This window comes from Homo sapiens, chromosome 3, assembly GCF_000001405.40.
Source record: "Homo sapiens chromosome 3, GRCh38.p14 Primary Assembly".
Classification (NCBI taxonomy): domain Eukaryota; kingdom Metazoa; phylum Chordata; class Mammalia; order Primates; family Hominidae; genus Homo; species Homo sapiens.
Genome location: NC_000003.12, coordinates 156,094,459 through 156,119,856, shown reverse-complemented (window position 1 = coordinate 156,119,856; position 25,398 = coordinate 156,094,459). Strand labels below are relative to the sequence as shown.

The following is a 25,398-nucleotide window of genomic DNA, read 5'->3' as shown; positions in this document are numbered from 1 at the left end:
TATGTGCATGGATGTGTATGTGTGTGCCCAGTGTACATGAAAACTAGTTTGGGAGAAACAAAGAAAGCCAAGCTGATGGCCCTATGGTTAAGATGCATGGGGTTGACCCACACACACCCATGGATCTCACTCTGTTTTAGTTTAGGAGATAATGATGTCAGTGTCCACCTAGGGGTCTATCACAGAGTTGTTTAGTGACCCGTTAAGCACCAGGCACCCTCCCCCTCAATCAACTTAAGTCTCTTCTGGATCAACTATCTCAGTGCCTGCTGCATGTAAAGAACTTGGGAAGGTGCATGTATTTTTCTTTCCATGACAAAACCGTAAGTTAAAAATTGTAGAGTTATAGCAAGTCCTTAGAGTCCCTGAGAAGAGCAGGAGAGGAAGGAGGAAAGAAGCATGCCTTCTTAAAGAGATAGGAAAGTGCAGTTAGCTCTTTTGGAAAGTCTGTCAATAGGCTGTCATAAGGCCTCCTCTGCCACCACGGTATGGAGGAAGAATTTCCTTCACTGCTATTCTCATCCCTTTACTATCTGAACTAATGTGGTCACCTCGGTCACATGGCTTGGTAACAAGTCATCTACTGCTGTCTTGGATTATCTTGCTTCCTTTAATGTACGCCTTGCCCCCTTTCACTTGCCCTTAGTCCACTGTCACTCTCAAAGACCTGCCAAAGGTCTTTGAGGATCCCTATGGCTGTTAATTAACCAATATCAATATTAACCAATTAACAGCCATGTGGGCTCTTGCACATTTGGGTGAAACCTGTTTGATATTACTGTCCAGGATAGTCTAGGGTTAGAACTGTAACCACCAAGTAATGTGCAGCCTGAAGCATGTATCAAAGGAGGCAACTGATACCAACTAGCAGGGTCAGTCCCATCTGATGCTGTGGGGTCTTAGGAACTTTTAGCACCAGCAGGCGACAGCCTCTTCAACTACTCTCTTTGCTCCCATCCCTTGAGTCATTGAGGAGTTCTGGCAACATTATATGCATAGCAACTAGACTCCCCGAAGTGTAGACTGGAGATAATCACCCCAGTTTAATATTCTTGGAGATGTTTCAATGGGGGGCTCTGCAATGGAACTGTGGAAAGGGCACTATGCTCATTCAGCCAAAGAGACAGAGGGCTTCCCAATGTCCTTGGCTTGCAGTGCTGTTGTGTTTAAGAGCTCTGCTCTGGAGTCAGACTGCTTGGGTTCAAATCCTAACTCCATCACGTACCAGTGCTGTGATCCTAGACAAATTTCTTAACTCCCATATGCTTTATTTTCTTCATCTATAAAAATAGAGATAATTATCTACTTGTGCCAGTTTTAAAACTAATTCTTTGACACTCCTGTCATTGAGAGGTGGGGCCTGTTTCTCAGCCCCTTGAATCTGGATGAGCTTCACACTACTTCAATGTAAAACGTGGTGGAAGTGGTGCTATGTAACATTCACAGTTAAGTCAGAAAGACCATGCAGCTTTCACCCACCACTCTTGAGATGTTCATTCTGTAAGGAACCTGATTACCTTAACATTGCCTTGCTGGACAGCCACATGCAGGTGCTCTGATCAGTAGCCCCAGCTGAGTTTCCAGACAACAGCCAGCTTGAGCAGTATCCTTAGATGACTGTGGTCCCAGCCAACATCTGACTGCAACTGTAAAAGACATCCCAAATTACAATGACCAACTCATACCCTTCCCAAATTCCTAACCCACAAAATTGTGAGCTAAATATAATGTTTGCTTTATTACCACCATTAAGTTTTGGAATTTTTTATAGTGCACAATAGTAATAAGAACATTACTTTTATCTTTATTATAAACATTTAACAATATATGTGTGAGACTTAGAACAATGTCTAGCATTATTAACATTCAATAAGTATTAATATTTATTCTCCAGGTTAGAAACCATTGCATCAGTAGAATGCAAACTTTCTGCTTCTGCTTCCCTTTTAAAAATTTGGAAAGCTAAGTATTAACTTCAACACTTTTAGGTATACAAACAACATTTTTCATCATAAATTAAGTAGTCATGAGCCACATAATGACATTTCAGTCGATGACATACTGCATACATCATGGTGGTCCCATAAGATTATAATGGTGCTGAAAAATTTTTATAAACTAGTGACATCATAGTTATCATAATGTTGTAGTACAACCATTACCTTTTCTGTATTTAGATACACAAATACTTACCATTGTGTTATAATTGCCTACAATATTTAGTACAGCAATATGCTATAAAGGTTTGTAGCTTAGTAGCAATAAGCTCTACCATATAGCCTAGGTATGGAATAGGCTATACCATCTAGGTTTGTGTAAGTGCATTCTATGATATTCCCACAAGTATGAAATTGCCTAAGGAGGCATTTCTCAGAAAGTAACCCTGTTGTTAAGGAATGCACCACTGTAGTTGCAAAGGATGCAATGTCTAGCATATTGTACATACTAGTATTTTTAAATAAAGTGGTTACATCACTATCTTAAATGTATCCAATGAAATTTAAATCCCATAGCTATTTGATATCTATCATTATCCATTTTAAAAATTCATGAACAAGCTCTTCTTTAGCAGCTGGAAATTTAACATTCTTCCTTTTTCTCCCTGAACTATTTTTTTCCAGTCAATTTCTCACCCAGAATTTTAATATATAATATTTGTATACTTGAAAATGTCTCACAGATGACCCTGTCAAATAATTTTGATGCAATGAAAGTAATATAAATAAAAATTTAAATTATTTTTTATGACCATAAGATTGTTATCAGATATCTTAGGGATCGTGTTATCTTGACAACTATAATCAGACATAATTGATCAAATGCAGATTTTATAAATTTTGATAAACTTTGCTTAACATAAAAAATAAAATTTTTTTGGAAATCTGTCTTTTAATGGCTTGTATAGGGCTGCGATATATTTTCTGAATTAGGTCATGTGTTCATGGAGGTATGTTATTTGTTGGGAGACTGAGACAGGTAGGATTAAGCATTAATTCTATTCCCTTTATTTTTTCATTTTTAAAGGTACATGTTGTGAGAATCTTGTTTACATAAATAATAAAAATGGAACTTTCTTATTATAGTAAAATCATTCAGTTCTTTTAATGTCTTCTCAAATATATATAAAAATCACAGTGATGTGTCATTTTAAAATGATATATGTATATTTTATTGATGCATAATAGATGTACATCAATTCAGGGTACATGTGATAATTTAATACATTCATTTAATTTGTAAAGATCAAATCAGTGTACGTGGGACATCCATCACCTTAAATATTTGTCTTTCCTTTATGCTAGAACCATTGAAATTCTTCTCTTCCAGCTATTTTGAAATACACAATACATTATTGTAAACTATAGTAACCCTACTGATCTAATACTAGGTTAATGATACATTTTTAAATATAAATATAAAAATGATGATGTATCCACCCCCAGCTATGAGATGGAGAGCTTCTTAGAAGGCTATGACAGAGGAGTGAAATGATCAGAGTTACGTATTCAAAGAATCATTCTGGCTACGGCGCTGAGACCAGGCCATTGGGAGTCAAGGGAAGAAGGAGGGTGATTTGAAGGCTACTGCGATGATCTTGGTGGAGATGAGAGTGGCTTAGAACAGGTTGGTGAACACTGGAGTTCAATGTGTATATATAGTTTGCAAGTAGAAAGGATAGGACTTCCTGGTTGATTGGTACAAGAAAAGTAATACAAAAGAATAAGGGGAGTTGAGAATGACCCAAAGGATCGTGGCCTGAGCCACTTGCCAGGACTGGGAAGATGCAGGAGGATGAATTTTTCTGGGTAGGTGTGGAGTAATCAAAGGGTTATTTCGTATTTGTTCACGGATTCACCATGTTTTCACGCTCTTTATTTCTTCCTGAGGATACAAGTTTCCATCTATTATCATTTTCCACAATCTGAAGAACTTCCCTTAGCATTACATATCTAAGAGCAACAAATTCTTCTTTATCTAAAAATATCTTTTTTCAACTCTGTACCTGGAGTTCTGTTCATCTTTTTCATTCTTGTTTCTTTATTCTTCAGATTAGATAATACCTGATCTGTCTTCGAGCTCACTCTGTCATCTCCATTCTGGTAAGTGTATTCAGTGACTTTTAAAAATTTTTCAGATAATATATTAATCAGTTCTAGAATTGTCATCTGGTTATTTTCTACAGTTTCCATTATTCCGATGGGATTGCTTATCTTTCATTCACTGCAAGTATATTTTTCTTTACCTCATTGAGCATAGTTATAAAAGCTCACTTTAAAATCCTTATCTGTTCTTTCCGTTTCTAATTATACCAAAATCGTATTCAATCTACCTACCTGACACATATATTTCCCTTTAAAAAATGGGGTGAGGGAAATCTAAATCTAAATATGTCTCTTTCCCTTGCTCAAAGTCCTTCAGTGGCTCCCTTGTACCCAAGAATAATATTGAAATCCACCAAACTGATTTTGAAGGCCTCCAACCTACTTTGTCAACTTTATATCTAACTGGTTTCCTTCCTTCCTTCCTTTCCTTTCCCTTCCTTCCTTCCTCCCTCCCTTCCTTCTTTTCTTTATTTCTTTTTTTATTTCAGGGTCTCACTGTGTTGTCCAGGCTGGAGTGCAGTGGCACAATCTCGGCTCTTGGCTCACTGCAACCTCCGCCTCCTGGGTTCAAGCGATTCTCCTGCCTCACTCTCCTGAGTAGCTGGAATTACAGAAGCATGCCACCACGCCCAGCTAATTTTTGTATTTTTAGTAGAGACGAGGTTTCACCATATTGTCCAGGCTGGTCTCGAACTCTTGACCTTAGGTGATCTGCCTGCCTCAGCCTACCAAAGTGCTGTGATTACAAGCATGAGCCACCATGCCCGGCCATATCCAACTGTTTTTCTGCACAAAGAATGAGTTTCAACTATTTTGGTTTACTTCTGCTTTGTTTCCTGTTCGTTTAAAGTACCTATTGTTTTATGCCTCCTTGTTTTTATATTTCTTTTCCTTTCCCCCTATGAAAAACTCTACCTACCCAATTTACAGTTTTCTCATTGAAATTCCAGGCTATCATAAGGCCTCCTCTGCCACCACAGTATGGAGGAAGAATTTCCTTCACTGCTATTCTCATCCCTTTACTGTCTGAACTAATGTGGTCACCTCAGTCACACGGCTTGGTAACAAGTCATCTACTGCTGTCTTGGATTATTTTGCTTCCTTTAATGTATGCCTTGCCCCCTTTCACTTGCCCTTAGTCCACCTCTCACACACACCTTCAGCATCCTGAAGCAACATTCGACATGATGTTGGATTTCTCCCCTTAACATCAACAAGATATCTTAAAGGCCGGTGGTGGAACCAGAAACCTGAAATAGAAAGGTTTTGTTTTGATTTCTAGAAACTTCTGTTAAGATAGTAAGGAGAGAATTCAGGTTTATGGCCCTGCGGGTTCTCAGAGGCAAGTTCCGACCATGCTGTTTTCTTCTCACAGATCCCACCCTTTCTTCCTGGAAAGAAGACAGCCTTGGGTCCTGATGGGTGGGGCTTTGAAGAGGCCAGGAGTGGGAATTTCTAGAATTTGGAATCGAGTGAATTTTCTGACATTTGAGTACAGGACCCAGGGGTTCTTGGAGAAGAACTTGGTCCCAGAGGAGCTTGACTGACCATAAAAATGAGTCCTGCAGAAGCACTTGATGATTAAAACTTGTTTAAAATCTTAGTTGCAACAGATATTGATCTTGGATTTATGGAGAAAGATGTAGTCAGAGGAAATGATACATGTGTAACGCTTGATGAAATTTTAAAACTTGCCCAGGAAAATGAAGTGGATTTTATTTTGTTAGGTGGTGATCTTTTTCATGAAAAAAGCCCTCAAGGAAAACATTACATACCTGCCTCAAGTTATTAAGAAAATGTTGTATGGGTGATAGGCCTGTCCAGTTTGAAATTCTCAGTGATCAATCAGTCAACTTTGGTTTTAGTAAGTTTCCATGGGTGAACTATCAAGATGGCAATCTCAACATTTCAATTCCAGTGTTTAGTATTCATGGTAATCATGACGACCCCATGGGGGCAGATGCACGCTGTGCCCTGGACATTTTAAGTTGTGTTGGATTTGTAAATCACTTTGGACTTTCAATGTCCGTGGAGAAGATAGACATTAGTCTGGTTTTGCTTCAAAAAGGAAGCACAAACATTGCACTCTATGATTTAGGATCCATTCCAGATGAAAGGCTCTCTCGAATGTTTGTCAATAAGAAATAACAATGTTGAGATCAAAAGAAGATGAGAACTCTTGGTTTAACTTATTTGTGATTATTTGTGATTACAGAAGTAAACATGGCTAAGTACTAACTTCAGTCCAGAACAATTTTTGGATGACTTCATTGATCTTGTTATCTGGGGCCATGCACATGAGTGTAAAATAGCTCCAACCAAAAATGAACAACAGGTCAGGCGCAATGGCTCATGCCTGTAGTCCCAGAACTTTGTGAGGCCAAGGTGGGTGGATCACATGAGGTCAGGAGTTCGAGACCAGCCTGACCAACATGGTAAAACCCCGTCTCTACTAAAAATACAAAATTAGCTGGGCATGGTGCCACATGCCTGTAATCCCAGCTACGTGGGAGGCTGAAGCAGGAGAATCACTTGAACCTGGGAGGTGAAGGTTGCAGTGAGCCAAGATCGCACCATTGTGCTATAGCCTGGACAACAGGAGTGAAACTCCATCTAAAAAAAACAAAAAACAAAAATGAACAACAACTATTTTATACCTCACAACCTGGAAGCTCAGTGGTTACTTCTCTTTCCCCAGGAGAAGCTGTAAAGAAACATGTTGGTTTCCTGTGTATTAAAGGAAGAAAAATGAATATGCAGAAAATTCCTCTTCACACAGTGCGGTAGTTTTTCATAGAGGATGTTGTTCTGGCTAATCATCCATTTTTTAACCCAGATAATCCTAAAGTAAACCAAGCCATACAAAGCTTCTGTTTGGCGAAGATTGAAGAAATGCTTGAAAATGCTAAATGGGAACATCTAGGTAATTCTTGCCAGCCAGAGAAGTCTCTTATACCACTGCGAGTGGACTATAGTGGAGGTTTTGAACCTTTCAACGTTCTTCGCTTTAGCCAGAAATTTGTACATCGGGTAGCTAATCCAAAAGACATTATCCATTTTTTCAGGCATAGAGAACAAAAGGAAAAAACAGGGGAAGAGATCAACTTTGGGAAACTTACCGCAAAACCTTCTTCAGAAGGAACAACTTTAAGGGTAGAAGATCTTGTAAAACAGTATTTTCAAACTGAAGAGAAGAATGTGCCACTCTCACTGCTAACAGAAAGAGGGATGGGTGAAGCAGTACAAGAATTTGTGGACAAGGAGGAGAAAGATGCCATTGAGGAATTAATGAAATGCCAGTTGTAAAAAACACAGCAATTTCGTCTGGGCGCGGAGGCTCACATCTCTAATCCCAGCACTTTGGGAGGCCGAGGCGGGTGGATCACAAGGTCAGGAGATCGAGACCATCCTGGCTAACACAGTGAAACGCCATCTCTACTAAAAAATAGAAAAAAAATTAGCTGGACATGGTGGCAGGCGCCTGTACTTCCAGCTACACGGGAGGCTGAGGCAGGAGAATGGCGTGAACCTGAGAGGCGGAGCTTGCAGTGAGCCGAGATCGCACCACTGCACTCCAGCCTGGGTGACAGAGAGAGACTCTGTCTCAAAAAAACACAAAAAAAAACAAAAAAACAAAAAAAAAAAACACAGCATTTTCTTTAAGAACGTCATATTGATGCCCTAGAAGATAAAATCAATGAGGAAGTATGTCGATTCAGAGAAAACAGACAAAAAAATACTAGTGAAGATGATGACGTCCATGAGGCTATTAACAGGGCCAGAGGTCTCAGATCTCAATCAGAGGAACCTGCTTCTGCCTTTAGTGCTGATGACCTTATGAGTATAGATTTAGCAGAACAGATGGCTAATGACTCTGATGTTAACATCTCAGCAGCAACCAACAAAGAGGCTGAGGAAGAGGTGGAAGAGGAGGAAGAGGACAGAATTCAGCATCAGAGGAGGGTCTCAAAGAGGAAGAGCAGGCCCTGGTCTGGAGACTTCTACTCATAGCAGGAACTCAAAGACCATGGTGCCAGCATCTAGAAATATGTCTATTACAGAAGCCTTTAAATCTACAAGACAGCAGCCTTCCCAAAATGTCACTAAAAATTATTCAGAGGTGATTGAGGTAGATGAATCAGATATGGAAGAAGACATTTTTCCTACCACTTCACAGACACATCAAAAGTGGTCCAGCACATCATCCAGCAAAAACATGTCCCAGAGCCAAGTATTGAAAGGGGTTGATTTTGAATCAGATGAGGATGACGATGATGATCCTTTTTATGAACATTAGTTCTTTAAGAAGAAATAGTAGATAATATATTTAGTGGCACTGAGAAATTTGCAAAATACAGGAAAAATCAAAACGTTGCAAGCTAAAAGTTTACAGTTTAAGATTTTAAGTATTGCTTCCTGAGAATGACTCCGTAAGTAAGAAACTTCTCAGCACTGATTCATCTTGTTTTTTAACCACGTTGTTATTTTAAGAGCTTTGTTTAAATATAATTATTCTTTTTGTTTTGTTTTGTTTTGAGACAGAGTTTTGCTCTTGTTGCCCAGGCTGGAGTGCAATGGCGCCATCGTGGCTCAGTGCAACCTCCGCCTCCCAGGTTCAAGCAATTCTCCTGCCTCAGCCTCCCAAGTAGCTGGGATTGCAGGCATGTGCTCCACCATGCCCAGCTAATTTTTTGTATTTTTATTAGAGACGACGGGGTTTCACCATGTTGGCCAGGTTGGTCTCGAACTCTTGACCTCAGGTGATCCACCTGCCTTGGCCTCCCAAAGTGCTGGGATTACAGGCGTGAGCCACCCCACCCCTAAACATCATTCTTGAGTAAAGATTAAAATAAATCTACCATTTTACATTTCTGCTTCATGATCATTTAGTTTTCTGCATTTAGTTTTCTAAATGTAGCTATATAAATGGTTGCATTTAGCCAAAGTTGAGGGAAAGAGCTTATAAAATTTAACTTCTTCATAATATAATAATTTCCTAGAGGTTCTGGATTTCCTGAAAGTAAAACAAACTATGTGAACCTGGGCCTGAACTCAGTGTTCGTTACTATGTATGTTTTTTTCTAATGCTCCCTGAAAGACTGAATGATTAGAAGTAACTTATAGTTTGAACAGATATGTTTCTATTAAAACAGTAGAATAACCACAAAAAAAATAGTAAGGAGAAAGCTTAGAGCGTAAAGGCATGGAGTGGAGAATAATATTTGATTATGTAAGTATTACTTTCCTTCTCTCCTTTCCCTTAGGCAAAAAAGAAACTTGAGGCAGGATGAAAGGATCAGAGTGGACTGGATAAGGTTTGAGTTGCCACTGGGCCTGACCTACCCTGTGTCCAAGGAAGCATCTACGTGAAAGGGAAGTGGAAGATTATGGCAATGTAGGCCTGAGGGCAGCCTCCCTGAGTCTTGTACCCTGAGCAATTGTAGAATGTACTGCGAAACTGGGACACTTTTGAGCAGGAAGAGGGCTATTAATAGTCACATAGAGACAACAGGCAAAAACTGGCAAAGTCTTCTGCAAACCAGGAGGTATAATCATCCTACGCATCCCCCCAGCATGATGTGGGACAGCATCCAAACGTTTCTCTAGCAGCGGTCCCTGCCATCAAAAGTCATGCAGGAATGCCTGAGGAAGCCAGCAGCTGCGAAAGCTGGGGTCGAGATCAAGGGGATACGAAGTGCACAAATGGGGCCCTGGAGGCCCACAGATGTGAGGGGAGAAAGTTTCATCCCGGGGGCATGGATTAGCAGCCCTGTCATGTGGGCCCCTGAGGACTGAGGATGGCACACAGACCAGGTGCTCTGCCCCGGCTTAGATCACAGATCACCCCTATGGAGAAGGGAGGTGAGGAGAGAATCCAAAACTGACTGAGTTTACCTTCAAAGGTGACTGTTTATCTTGAATTGCCAGAATTTTTATTCTGTAATCAATGCGAATTAAGGTTTCATGAGCTAGACACTGAGGAATGAGTGATGTTTTTGTATTCCTGGCCACTATGATGTGTAAAATGTAAAATTATTTCAATTTTCGTTCTAAGATGATCCACATTTGTTTCCAATGTCCCCTGCATCCTCTGAACTTAGTAGAACATCAGACTATTCCCAAGTAAGTAAAACACACACATCTTCAGACAAGCAGGTTGTAGATATAGACCATAATGGGCAGAGCCTAGCGGGAGGAGCATGAGGATACAGACCTCCAAATCTCAGCACAAAGAAGTTCAAACCAGGGCTGCTACATACAGTCAGAATAACAGCAATAATGATCACAATAACTAATACCCATCTAGTTTGGGATCTGAACCATTTTTACATGTATTCTCATTTCGTTCTCCATTTTTAGATGAGGAAATGGAAGCCCAAATAGGTTGTATGACTTGCTCTACTTTAAGCAGCTTTCAGGGACTCAAACCCTGATGCTGTGTTTCACTGTCCATATATTCCTTCCAGGTCCCCCAGCTGCTGACTCAAGGACCACCACCCAAAAGCATAGAGAAGGGTATTTTCCCACACGAAGAGTATGGAATCCTTCCAGCCATGAAAGAACTCTGTGCATTAACTATGTTTCGAGAGATCAATTCCTTTCACTCTCACTTAATGGTATTGGTAGATAGCACACTGGCTATTTGCTCCGCTAATGCCTTGGATTTTTTCCTTACCCGTCTGGTGCAGGCAAAGAAAAAAAGATTTCTTCTTTCCTGTTAATTTGCTAAACATGAATTACTGTTGGTCATCTTTATCGCCTTTTACAAACCTATCGCTGTGTAAGGAGTTGCTTTGTATTTTTACAGCATTTTTGCTGCATAAATATGCCACACATTTCTTTTAGAACATCATCATTGAAAGAAAACACAGTTCATCTTGGTAAGTTTTAGAACATCGCTATTTATAAAGCATGGAGCAACTCTCTCTAAAAATATTTAAGTGTTTGGCAAATAAAGAAAACACACTGAAGCCATCAGCAAAATATGTGCTAAAGGCTATGCTGTCCTTGCTATCACTGCTTTAAAGAAACATCAAGAAAAAAATAATATTCTCTGTGAGCCTTTAGCAGCCTCTTATAGAAATCATCTGCTTCTTCACCACCTCCTCTCCTTTGGAAGAGAAAAAGAACTGAGCATGATCCCAAAAAGGAAAAGTAGAGAGTGTGTAAAATGGGAAGAAATTATTTTCTTGTTTTTAAAGGTAGACAAGTTGTGATAATGATCAGGCAACCAGAATCGATGACATTTTGTGATCTTACAGGAAACATTTGGGATGTCAGACTATCAGTAAGCCTGGCCCAACTAGTGCCCTTTATTGCTATAATGTTCTCAAAGTTCTTTTTTCAAAACTTGAAATGCTCTTTATTAATAGACTCAAAGGGCATTTCTAATTCACAAAAACTATTATGGGGGTCCAATATCTAAATCCGTTTCTCCCTTGTCAGAGTTTTGATGCTGTGATTACTTTGGTCCATTTCTTGTTTATGTAATGTTGCCTTAGTTTCAATCCTAGGGACTGATCAATCATTCATAATTCAATCACTCAAATAAATTCAGTCTCAAAAATTCAATCACTCCCAATAAAAATAACACACTGAGGCTATGTGTGACTCAGTACAAACTTAAATATTTCTTCAGCCCTACAGTGAAAAAACAAATAACGACCCACATTTTGGATGCATTATTCCCACCGTTTATACACTGATACTGCCTTGCTACCTGGTAGAAAAAAGAAATTACTTCATTTGTCACCCATTCCTGACATAGAAGAATATCATTTTGTGTAGGGTTTAAACTTGACTAAATATTTCAAAGAAACCTCCCACTAATATTTTCCAACATGATGATCACATTGCCTTAAGGGGAACCTTATTAATAAAAACCACAAATATTGGGAATGAGAAAGTAAACAGCAAAACTAAAACAATGCATGCGTTCAGGGAAGCGGTTGTCTAATGAAAAGGGTGCCTGAGAGAACTGTTAATCTGGAGAGGCAGAAGGTGTTTAACAGGCATCAGACAGAGGCGGGTGGACCCAGGCTATGCTGCATATGAGCTGTGTAAACCAGGCAAGTAATTGATCCTTTCCGCATTCCTGTGTCCCCACTGGCACAAAAGTACAGATTCAATGTTTCTGTGAGGATTACAGATATTGAATATAAAGCATCTAGTCATAGTAAGCGATAAATGAAACATCTTGTCATTCATTGTTATATTATTTCCATTTTAACACCTAGAGTGTTTTTAAAATGTGTCAAAGCATCCACACGTTTTATTTAAATGTAATGCACATTGAAGCATTTGACCCAATTTTTTTTCCAGCTTCTAAAAGCTGATTTGTACAGTGATGACCCAGTACCTGTGAAGTTTAGGCCATATCACCAGGGAACTCTTTATTCCAAAATGTCAGTGGCCTGATTTAGGATACACTTTGCACAGGCTGGTTAACGGTAAGGAGACTGGAAGCATAGAGGTTCCCCTATAACTATTTAAGGCACAATAAGAGGGCTAAGGTGCTGTGATTAGTTACAACATAAATTAGGAGAAGGCATGAGACAGGGCCAGTAGGGGCAGCAGACCTGACCACACTAAGAATAAAGCAACCAGAGGGACCCAAGCATCTGCGGGGCTGCAGACTCCTCAGAGCTGCTCACAGCACTTCCACCATTCCTGTAACAAGTCCTGGAAAAGGCTAGGGCACATTGTGGAACTTTCAGTTGCTATAAAAAAAACACTGGCTCATTTTCTTTTCACACTCAGATTATCCATACAAGGAGTTTTTGCTTCTCAAAAGTGTGCTCCAAGAACCAGCTGCCTGGGCAGCACCTGGGAGCTTATTAGAAATGCAGAATTGGCCGGGAGTGGTGGCTCACACCTGTAATCCCAGCATTTTGGAAGGCCGAGGCGGTCGGATTGCTTGAGGTCAGGAGTGCAAGACCAGCCCGGACAACATGGTGAAACCCTGTCTCTACTAAAAATACAAAAATCAGCAGGCATGGTGGTGCATGCCTGTAATCCCAGCTCTTTGGGAAGCTGAGGCAGGAGAATCACTTGAACCTGGAAGGTGGAGGTTGCCAGGAGCCAAGATCGTGCCACTGCACTCCAGCCTGGGTAACAGAGTGAGACTCCACCAAAAACAAAAAACAAAAAAAACAAAACACAGAATCACCCCAGACCTACTGATTCAGGATCTGCATTTTAATAAGGTGTCTCAGTTGATTCGTATGCACATCGAAGTTTGAGGCTTTAGTTTGCACATATTGGGGTATTGTGTGTATGGAGTGGCTGAACAGGGTGAAGAAGCCATAATTTTTGAGTGGTACAGAAGAAACTGAGACCTACAGAGTTTTAGTAACTTTTCTAAGTGCATCTATCCCTGAGTGATTCCAAAATCCATGCTCTTTCACTATTATTCCACAATTTTCATTACTTGAAAAATAGGAACTCTTCAAACTTGAGCTGCATGCCTGTTAAAGAATACATATGTCTTTGTCTACGGCCATACCACCCTAAACGTGCCTGATTTTGTCAAATGCATATGTTTTCTATATAAAATTTCCTCCAGACAAATAGTGGTTAGCAGGATTAGTACAGATCGTCCCAGGTGGGTTGGGGGAAGGGAGAGTGGGAGTAGGGATGGAAATAAAACTCAAACCAGGGCAAGTAATTTCCCCATAATGCAGCACAGACTCTTCTATTAATAGAATAAGACTATATGTGAATTCTCCTTGTCTCAAACCCTAAGACCTGCTTCTAGCCTTGAGCTTCTTAAGACACTGCTTCCTGCCTCAATGGTACATGGAACATGCCTTCCTTTGTCTTGATGCCATTCTGACCACAGCATACTCTATTAAGTGCTGACGTACCATATTTAAATTTTCCCATTGATTTCTTTTGTGAGTTATAACTAAAAAGTAACTGTGGAATGTTGGCATTAACAATGTTTGACAAACTAATCAGTTTCTTAATTCATTTTCTTCCTGAAATATAACTTTTCAAGTTTTTTTTGTTTTTTTGAGACGGAGTCTCGCTTTGTCCCCCAGGCTGGAGTGCAGTGGGGTGATCTCAACTCACTGCAAGCTCCACCTTCCAGATTCACGCCATTCTCCCGCCTCAGCCTCCCAAGTAGCTGGGACTACAGGTGCCCACCACCACGCCCAGCTAATTTTTTGTATTTTTAGTAGAGACGGGGTTTCACCGTGTTAGCCAGGATGGTCTCGATCTCCTGACCTCATGATCCGCCTGCCTCGGCCTCCCAAAGTGCTGGGATTACAGGCGTGAGCCACTGCGCTCGGCTGATATGATCTTTTAAACAGATATGCTACCCATTCAGAGCTTGATAGAACATGTTTTATTCTTGGCAAACAGGAGGTGAGGCAGGGAGGAAGCCAGAACATAAGCAGCTCAACTTTCCTCTCCTCTTGCCCTCTCATTCTTCTGCTGGTGCTTCCCTTGGCCAAGCCCAACAGGAAGCCAGAGGCCAAGGGAGCCAGATGATAGTCTGTAGAGGTTGGACAATCAGGGCACAGAAAAGACATAGGTAGAGAATGGATCTGCAGGAGAAACAGAATAATCAGCAAGTGGAGGATGTTCTAAAATGGCCACTGTCTCCACAGTGGATGAAAGAGCTGCCTGGGAATGGAGCCTGCCTGAAGTTGGAGGCCATGAATTTATAGTGGCACTTGCCAGTGCAGACCTGTGACTACCTCCTGGAGTGCCCAGAAGTCCAATTGTAAGCCTGGAGAAATGGGACGGTTTGGCTGACTTGGAGTTTTGCAGGCAGGAGAAATGAAAGCACAGTGGAGGTGAGGAATTTGACACTGGATAAACATCAGTGATGGACAATGACATGTAATGTTTGTGAATAAGATATTGAAAAGAGGAAGCTACTAATAGAAAAAAAAGTCAAATTCCTGGAAGTGAGACCCGGGGGTACACTGCTGTGCTTCTCAGCGGTCTCTGGAGAGTCACAGCGTCTCTGAGTGGACAGGAAACTGGGCCAAAACAGGGATTTATTTCTATTGCTGAGCCTCCTCCTGTCATGAGCATCTCTTCAGGTCGTGTTGGTTTTTGTCTGGCACATCTTTTTGTGTTGGTGAATGGCAGCTTCACCAAGATATCATCAAATATCATCAGACTATAAATCACAATGCCCACCTGGCTCCCGGTCACACTGGAGCATTGGATTTTGAGCACTGTAGCATGCCATTTACATGCTACCATATGCTCATGCAAGGAATGAGCACATAGCTAACAAAATCCAATCAGAGCCCTTCCACAGGACTGACATGTGGACAAGGGGAGAGAGAAGACCTCTATTCCTGTTGTATTGTGTCTTATCGTATTGTATTGTATTCTACTGTATTGCACTGTATTGTATCCCTATGGCACTGTAAGCCAAAGTCTGCAAGCCTAGGTCTGCCAAGATCCAGCTTGGCTCTCAGGCGGAGAAAATCTATCAGAAACAGGAGGAAAAATATAAGACCAACATTCAAAAAGACAGACAAGAAGAACAAAAAGATGTAGAGATAAAATGCCCTGACAACATCATTTGAGGTCCTCAATCCAGTAGTGTATGGATCTAGCCCTTTGATTGCCAAGATTAATGAGACAATAAAGTCCCTTTTATGCTGATTTTTACAGGGTTCCAACTGGTTTTTGTAGGGTTTCTGCTGCTTCTCACCAAAAGGAAGCTGAGTAATACAATAGTCTGGATCTGTCACCAGTGCCTAGCTTGGTCCTGGAACTGGTTGGTTATTCGGAACTCCATGTAGGGCTTGGGCTGAATCTCCCTGGGCTGTTCTCCTGGCCAGAAGGACTCAGGATGTTACCTACCCTGAGTCCCTCTAACTTGAAAGTTCCTCAGGCCCAGTCAAAAGTCACTCTGCCCACGCCACCCAGATACCTGTGGTCATTCCACCTTTCACCTGGAGCTAATTCAATTCAGCGTCATTGAATGACGACAACATAAAGAATCAGAGACTCAGAGACTTTTCAGGCCTGATACAAATTACAGTGTGTGAAGAGCTGGCTAAGCCCCTTAATTTTACAGATGGGTAAACTGAGACCAGTAAGTCTCAGAGACTTGCCCATGGGCACTCAACTATAAAGCACTGGAGGAGGCTGGGGAAGGGACCTAATATTTATCTAAATGTATTGAGCAATCACCATGTGCCACATTGTGAGCTTTACAAATGTCCCCTCATTCTCCAAACCACCCTGCAAAGTTGGGCTTACTACTGCCATTTTCCAGATGGGGATGGCGAGGATCACAGATTTTTAATAACTTGCCAGGGACAATTTAATGGCTAAGGTGGAATGCATGCCTTGGTCTCTCTGCTTCAATGCCCTCCCACATTTGTTTGTTTGTTTGTTTTTGAAAGAGGGTCTTGCTCTGTCACCCAGGCTGGGGTACAGTGGCATGATCACGGCTCACTGTAGCTCGACCTCCAGGGCTCAAAGGACTTTCCTGCCTCAGCCTCTGGAGTAGCTGGGGCTGCAGGCAAGGCATACACCACCACGCCCGGCTAATTTTTTGCATTTTTTTTTTTTTGTAGAGGCAGGGTTTTGCCATGTTGCCCAGGCTGGTGTCAGACTCCTGGGCTCAAGCAATTCACCCATCTCAGCCTCCCAAAGTGCTGAGGTTACAGGCAGGAGCCACCACGCCCTGCACCCTCCTGCCTTTTTTAAACTCTGCAGTGTTAGCTCCCCATTCCAAAGATAGAATAAAAATCTGAAGAAGTTATAATATAGCTTTAATTTTAAGATATCCCAAGTAGATACTGTCTGGGTTATACTGGAAGCTGGTCTTTCCAATAATCTCTCCACCATAAAATATTTCTCACTGTGACCTTTAAGGAATATTTTACCATACATTATAGCCCTAAGCAGTGAAATATGTTACAAAAACTCCAAATTTCTGAATACTTTCTTCCATGAGTATGACGGAACAGGAAGAAAAGGGAAAACAAAAGACTCTCCCTGTCAAAATAAAATGTAGCTGACTTCTGCCAAAGCAGTTATTCCCGGAATGTCTAATTATTAAACCAGGAGCTGGGATAGAGAAGTCAACTATTTCATTCTCTTCACTCCTGCAAAAAGCCCTCTAGAAGCTCTATTCAGCAACAGAAGAAAAAATTCTTCTGAGGACTATGCAAAATTCGGTTTTATTTGAAAGAAAATCCTGCCATCTCCTTGGCAAGAGCTGTATGCCCTGCACAGGAGATAAAACAGGGTGATCCAAACAGCCCAATTTCCCCCTGGGGCCTCCAGACTTCCTCCCGGGCATGGGCCTTCCCCAACTCAGCTTTAAAGGGCTGCCAGTTGCAAGGCACAGAATCAAAGAGTAGGCACATTGTCCCTCTGACTCCAAGAACCCTAGATTCTTGAATGTTCATTTCTGTTATTATTAATGATAGCTAACATTTATTGAGCACTAGGCATGTGCTATGCATTATTCTATGTACTTAATGTGCATCATCTCATTTAAATGCCACAACAGGCCAGGCACCATGGCTCATGCCTGTAATCCCCGTACTTTGGGAGGCCAAGGTGTGTGGATCACTTGAGGTCAGGAGTTCAAGACCAGCTCGGCTAACATGGTGAAACCCTGTCTCTACTAAAAATGCAAAAATTAGCCAGGCGTGGTGGCACACACCTGTAATCTCAGCTACTTGGGAGGCTGAGGCAGGAGAATCGCTTAAACCCAGGAGGCGGAGGATGCAGTGCACAGATCACGCCACTGTACTCCAGCCTGGATGGCAGAATGAGACTCTATCTCAAAAAAATAAAAAATAAAAAATAAAATAAATGATACAACAATTCTATAAAATAGATAGCCCCCATTATCTTTATTTTATAAGTGAGGAAATTAAGTCTTGGAAAAGTAAAGTAATTTGTTTGAGAGAAACATCTGTTTTGTGCCTCCAGCATGGAGCCATCTTGGGGGAGATGAGGCAGGAAGGGAAGGAAGTCAGTCTTTTTAGCATCTACTATGTGACCAACACCAAACTAGTAACTTTGTTTCTTATCTCTTCTTCATCGTAAACCTGGTTTCTATAAGACAGCCCTATTTTGTGTAAGAGTTAACTAAGAACTCAGAGAAATTCAGTAACTAGACTTTAGCTAGTAGATGATTGAGTGATGATTTGACACAGATCACCTGTTCCTAATATACCTTTCTATATACAACATATGTGTGTAGATTATTTGTATCCTGGCTCTGTGATACTAGCTGCATAATTTTGGGCAAGTCTCTGCGCTTTAGTTTCCCCATTTTTAAAGGAGGAATCATATTCTCTCCCAAATAGAAATTGGGAGCCAACTAAGATAATGTTTCGGAGCGCTTACCATGTTCTATAATATTTTTTCCTACACACATCTCCCTTCTCTGATTTCTGTGGTGCCTGGTTGACACCCTTTTTAGATCCCTCCCTGCTCATCAATGCTTCTTAGTGGCTTATGGGAGATGTAGGAAAAGGGATACTATAATGTGAGTCCCTGGGGGCCTATTCGTTCTGCAAAACCCACATCTTGGGGTGGACTTGTCACTCACCGGTTATGCAGTAAATGTTGATTTTTAAGGATCTCCTGCTGTCTTCAATCATGGAAACTACAAATGTCCTTAGAAACTCCCAAATCTATTAATGAGTCATTTGGCCTATTGGTCATCTTTGGGAGACTTCAGACTCTGCCCCTTTAGGAATCCTGGCCATAATCAGTCCCCTCTATAAAATCCAAACTCCCAAAGCAATCCCCCAACCCCAATATCCATTATATTCTCCTCTGAAGAACTACTTCCTTCAATAAACATGGGATTAGATTTTACTCTTTTAAATTTCATTTTCACCAAAGATTTTGGAACAATATATAAAGGAAGGGATATTCGTACCCACTCCTGTGGTATTCAGCCACAGTAAGAATTAGGCAGTACCAGAGCTATAGATTTGCCTTTCTGCTCCTTAAGCCAAATGGCCTTCTTGGTGTTCATGTGAGCCACATGGATGAGAAACCATTGCATTAACTATGTAGTGACCAACAGTACAGATTAGTCCGGTAGGGCATTTACAGAAAGGTATTCTAGAGGATGATGCTGTGTCCGGAATTGGTGGGTTCTTGGTCTTACTGACTTCAAGAATGAAGCCGCGGACCCTCACGGTGAGTGTTACAGTTCTTAAAGGTGGCGTGTCCGGAGTTTGTTCCTTCTGATGTTTGGATGTGTTCGGAGTTTCTTCCTTCTGGTGGGGTTCGTGGTCTCGCTGGCTCAGGAGTGAAGCTGCGGACCTTCGCGGTGAGTGTTATGGCTCTTAAGGTGGCACGTCTGGAGTTGTTCTTTCCTCCCGGTGGGTTCGTGGTCTCGCTGGCTTCAGGAGTGAAGCTGCAGACCTTCGCGGTGAGTGTTACATCTCATAAAGGCAGTGTGGACCCAAAGAGTGAGCAGCAGCAAGATCTATTGCAAAGAGCAAAAGAACAAAGCTTCCACAGTGTGGAAGGGGACCCGAGCAGGTTGCCACTGCTGGCTCATCAGCCTGCGTTTATTCTCTTATCTGGCCCCACCCACATGCTGCTGATTGGTAGAGCCGAGTGGTCTGACAGGGCACTGATTGGTGCATTTACAATCCCTGAGCTAGAAACAAACGTTCTCCACAACCCCACCGGATTAGCTAGATACAGAGTGTCCACACAAAGGTTCTCCAAGTCCCCACCAGAGTAGCTAGATACAGAGTGTCGGTTGGTGCATTCACGAACCCTGAATCAGGGTGTTGATTGGTGTGTTTACAAACCTGGGGCTAGATACAGAGTGCCGATTGGTGTATTTACAATCCCCGAGCTAGACACAAAGGTTCTCCACGTCCCCACCAGACTCAGGAGCCCAGCTGGCTTCACTCAGTGGATCCCTCACCGGGGCCGCAGGTGGAGCTGCCTGCCAGTCCCGTGCCGTGCGCCCGCACTCCTCAGCCCTTGGGTGGTCGATGGGACTGGGCACCGTGGAGCAGGGGGCTGTGCTCGTCCGGGAGGCTCGGGCTGCACAGGAGCCCACGGAGTGGGGGGGAGGCTCAGGCATGGCGGGCTGCAGGTCCCGAGCCCTGCCCCGCGGGAAGGCAGCTAAGGCCCTGCGAGAAATTGAGCACAGCAGCTGCTGGCCCAGGTGCTAAGCCCCTCACTGCCTGGGGCCGGTGGGGCCCACCGCCACTCCGAGTGCGGAGTCCGCCGAGCCCACGCCCACCCGGAACCCACGCTGGACCGCAAGCACCACGCGCAGCCCCGGTTCCTACCCACGCCTCTCCCTCCACACCTCCTCACAAGCTGAGGGAGCCAGCTCCGGCCTTGGCCAGCCCAGAAAGGGACTCCCACAGTGCAGCGGCGGGCTGAAGGGCTCCTCAAGTGCCGCCAAAGTGGGAGCCCAGGCAGAGGAGGCGCCCAGAGCGAGCCAGGGCTGTGAGGACTGCCAGCACGCTGTCACCTCTCAATGCCTGAATCAATATCACTGTGTACATTTGGTGTTTAGATGATAAACTTTAGATCTGCATTGCTCTTGAGCTAGGCATTTTACCAATATTTCAGTAATGTAAGAACAAAATATCTCAAAGGATTACAAAGAATACAACCATTCACAAGACACACAGTTTCACAAAAAAATCATCGGTTCTCAAAGTGTTTTCCTGACCAGAAGCATCAATATCGCCTGGAAACTTGTTAGAAATTAAAATTATCAGACCTCAGAATCAACATGTCAGCATCATTCTGGTGGCCTGATCTCATGGCGTCCTATAAGAGAGATACCATGCCATCCAGTGGAAGCTATCTGCTTGCCAGGATGCCCTTCTAGAACTGAGAAATGGAGGGAAATAACCCCATAGGTGTGAGTCCTGAAGCTCCTGTGAGACAACTGGTCAACCGCACAAATAGGAGAAGTGAGAGTGTGAAGAGTCAGAGAGCACCCTGAAGGTGAGAAAGGAAGGCCAGGGCCTACACTGGGCCTCATTTGGGTTCAGAGCACCCTGCCCAGATGGCACTGCCAGCCCTGGCAAGTTCTAAGCACCAGAAAGGCACTTAGAAAACTTTGACGAAGAGACTTCAGAGCACAGGAGTCCCTGAGGCTGGGGTTTGGGGGAAGGACAGTGGATGGCATGGAGCCTGGGGCAAAAGCCCTGGTGGCCCAGGTCTAAGCATACTATTGACCTCCGTCTACAAAGTGTCTCCACTTATTGCTAAACACCAGCCTCTACTTTCCCTCAGGCCAGTCTTTGTACATCCATAGATCCCAGCATAGCATTTTGCATGTAAGAAGAGCTCAATAAAGTTTGTTAACTGTTCCACACATAAATCTTATGGTTATTTTAATTAAAAGAAAAACTACACTATTTGTGGTCTGAATTAATACCACCTGCTGTGGAAAGCTTATCTGAGTCACAAGGTGATCACAGCAAGTCAACAGCAGACTTGAGATCAGGAGGTTACTAATCAGGTCCTTCTGACTCTGAACACCACTGCTTTCTACTATACCATGTGGCTCTGGGCCCATCAAAAGTCACAGAGACCTGAACTTGGGAAGATTGGATTAGGTGAAAATCAAATAAGAGAATGGAATCAAAAAAAGGTCTCTGGTAGAAATCCCTAAAATAAAGAGTATACAACCAAACTATGGCTACAATGATAGGTCTCCTGGAGGAGAGGGATCATTTGACTTCCTGCAAACTATTCATCCAGACTGCTGTGGTTTTAAAACAAATCATTTGATACTCTTCCCACAGAAGATGGAGTCTAATTCTCCCTCCTTGATGTGGGCTGGCTTTGGCAAATCATTTCTAATAACTTGAATGTAGCAAAAGAGACACTTAGTATCTTCTGAGGTAGGTTAGAAAAGCAACACAGCTCCCTCCTAGCTTTTTCTCTCTCTTGAAGGACATGTCTTGGGAGTCTCCAATCAACATGTGAAAAAAATCTGGCTACTCTGAAGCCACCCTACTGGGGAAATCATATAGAAATAGACAGAGATGGCCATAGGGCACCAATTGTTCCAGACCTCGGTTGTTTGCATCAACCACCAAACACATGAGTAGGGAACATTCAAATAATTTCATTCCCCCACCTTCAGCTGCCAAAGCTGATATCAGGTGGCTCAGAGACAGGGTGCTCCCCCCAAGCCCTGGCTAGTTACAGATTCATAAGTAAAATATGGGTGTCTTTAGCCACTAAGTCTTGAAGTGATTTGTTCCATGGCATTGCATAACTAGAACATAGTCCAAACCAAAGGAGGTAAAAGATTCCTGTCAAACAGAGAACAACTGCTAAATATTATTACTTAGAAGGATGGTTTTCAGCATCTATAAATAACACATTTTTGCCTACTTTCTCCAGTAAAGGATATGGACAAGTATACACATTCCTCCCTGCCAGGAACAAAAAGCCAGTAAAATAGGGGAAGTGTTTAGTGCCTATTAGAGCTGCCCATGAAATTTGAACATGTTATTCTAAATGAGATTTTCACATTCAGTTCATAATTACTTGAAATCAATTCAGCATTTTTTTTCCCCCTCCAGGACTTCTCTTTTGCTGGGATTTTACCAGATTTTCGGGTTGGAGGAAAATTTTACTTTGTGGTCTATTTGTGAATATTCTGTTAATGTTATTTGTTTGCTCTACTTAGAAAATCTGTTGATTTTTTTCATATCTCTGGAATATTCTTTGCTGTTCCTAGGGCCTAGCCTGTTGTATCTCATGTAGCTTTTGCTCCCTACTCATATTTTTCCTGTTGGTGCCTCTTTTAGAATAACTGACTCTCAGTTTTCTCAGTTTTGGTTCCTCCACTAAACTCTCTTGGATCATTCAAGCATTCTGTATTTTTAAGTCCTCTCTCAGCCCTGTGCCATTCAACCCCCAAGGCCCCTGACCTGGTCCAGCACCCTGGGCATCTCTTCTTTTATGCCATTATCACTCTCCTGTCTCCATCTTCTTAATTTCTTTCATGAGTAATTACAATGGTCTCCTAACTGGTCTCCTTGTTTCCAATATCTTCCTCCTGTAATCCAGGCACCCCGTTGCTGTATATCTTTCTAAAACACCCATCTCATCAAGTCAGGGGTTTAACACATCCAGAGTCAAGTCTAAGGGCACAATAGCCCAAGGCTATTCCTGACCTAATCACTATCCTCCCCTCCAGGTTCATCACTCCTTTCCTCTCCCCATAGCAAATTTTCTAGTCATACCACTCTGCATATGGTTTCCTAAATATACCATGTTTTTCTGGGCTCCATCACATTTGAAAATAGTGCGCTCTCTCTTCCCCACCCTTCCTGCTGCACAATCACCTGTGGAATCCCTGTTTATCTTACAAAAATACAACTCAGTTGTTACCTCTTCTAGGACAACTTCCCTGACCCCTCTAGAAAGAGTTACTAGCTCCTCTACCTTGCACATGATTCTGTTGCTGCACATGTCACAGTGAAGGAATCTGGGTATTTACAAGTCCATCTCCCCTGCTAAACCATGAGCTCCTCGGGAGAAACCGTCCTATTCATCACCTAACACAAAGCCATCTACACCGAAGAGGCTTAATAAATGTTTTTTCATTACATAGGACAGAATAAAATTAACAGCCAATCAGTGGAAGATTACCTGAATGATAGACCAAATATCTCTTTGAAAAAACAGCCTCTGGAAGCTACCCAGGCAAACCTAAATGTATAAAGTTTATGTCACCATAACAAAACTTAAACTTGATCCATAGCTCTGTGGAAAGTGACTGAGCTGATTCAGTAAAAAGGGTATATACCCAAAGGATTACAAATCTATAAAGATACAGGCACAGGTATGTTTATTGCGGCACTGTTCACAATAGCGAGGACTTGGAACCAGCCCAAATGTCCATGAATGATAGATTGGATAAAGAAAATGTGGCACATATACACCATGGAATACTATGCAGCCATAAAAAAGGATGAGTTCATGTTCTTTGCCGGGACATGGATGAAGCTGGAGACCATCATTCTCAGCAAACTAACACAAGATCAGAAAACCAAACACCGCATGTTCTCACTCCTAAGTGGGAGTTGAACAATGAGAACACATGGACACAGGGAGGGGAACATCACACACTGGGGCCTGTCATGGGGTGGGGGGCTAGGGGAGAAATAGCATTAGGAGAAATACCTAATGTAGATGACGGGTTGATGGGTGCAGAAAACCACCATGGCACGTGTATACCTATGTAACAAACCTGCACGTTCTGCACATGTACCCCAGAACTTAAAATATAATAAGAAAAAAAAAAAGAAATGAGGAGATGCAGGGCCAACTCAATATAAACCATCTAAAAAGTAAGTTTTGTTGTTAGCTCGTGTAATTCTGGTTAAAATTAATAAGGATTATGAGCTCTAAGAGGTGGAAAGTCATTCCTATCTTGTCCTTAACTCTGGTCCAATCCTTTCTTAGATTACTAGGTCTGAGCTTAATTTTCAAACTTTCATAAAAATGGAATGAAGTCACAAGGGGCCCAAAGAAGAAAAATAGAAATTATTAAGATTTGAAAATAGGAGTGATAAGAAAACATTAAAGATATTAGAGAAACAATCTCACTAGTAGGAATTATCCAAAAATATTAATTAAGAATGTGTGCAAAAGATTAGCTACAAGAAAGTTTATAGAAGCATTATTTTAAATTATAAAAAAAGTAAATTAAAAACAAGTGACCAAAATAGGAGATCATATCTTTACACATCAATACTTTGATAGACAAGATAGGAAAGTATAAGGATGGAATTATGTTCAATGATATAGTCATTGAACATCAGATTATAGTATATGTAGTAAAATTCTATTTTTATAAATCTACATATGTATAAAGTATGCATAGATAAAAGTCTGAAAGAGAGTACAGCAAAATGTTGGCAATGATTATCTCTGGAATTTGATTTATTTTTTTCATTTTGCTCATCTACATTTTCCATGTTTTCTAAAATCATCATGTGTTGCTGTATAGTTTTTTAAATTTAAAGTAATTTAAATTAAACGGTAGAAATTGGCACGAGTTAGCAGTGGATATAATCAGGAAACCTCTATAATCTTAGTTTCCTGGGAGCATAAAGTAAATTAGACATAAAGCCAAAGGTAGGCTAGGGTGAATAAAGGGAGATCTCACAATGTCAGGCAAACAAGTTGGGTCATTATTGTGTAAGCAATATGGAACTTTGAAACTTTTTGTTCACAGGAATGGTCTCTAATATAGTTGTTATTTAGACAGATATTTGATGGTAACACTGGGCTTGGTGACTAATTGGGTTGGTAGAAAGACAGG

At 41.8% G+C, this 25,398-nt stretch overlaps 1 protein-coding gene and 1 pseudogene across 1 annotated transcript in view; one reads left to right on the top strand and one right to left on the bottom strand.

Annotated features, from left to right (window-relative positions):
* The window catches only part of KCNAB1 (potassium voltage-gated channel subfamily A regulatory beta subunit 1), a 420,928-nt gene extending 419,282 nt beyond the window's left edge, over positions 1-1,646 (bottom strand). The window contains exon 1 of the mRNA XM_017007171.3: positions 1,518-1,646. Coding sequence (XP_016862660.1) covers positions 1,518-1,546 — 29 coding nt within the window. The 5' untranslated portion in view covers positions 1,547-1,646. The remainder of the gene's footprint in view (positions 1-1,517) is intronic.
* On the top strand, positions 5,412-8,617 carry MRE11P1 (MRE11 homolog, double strand break repair nuclease pseudogene 1; annotated as a pseudogene).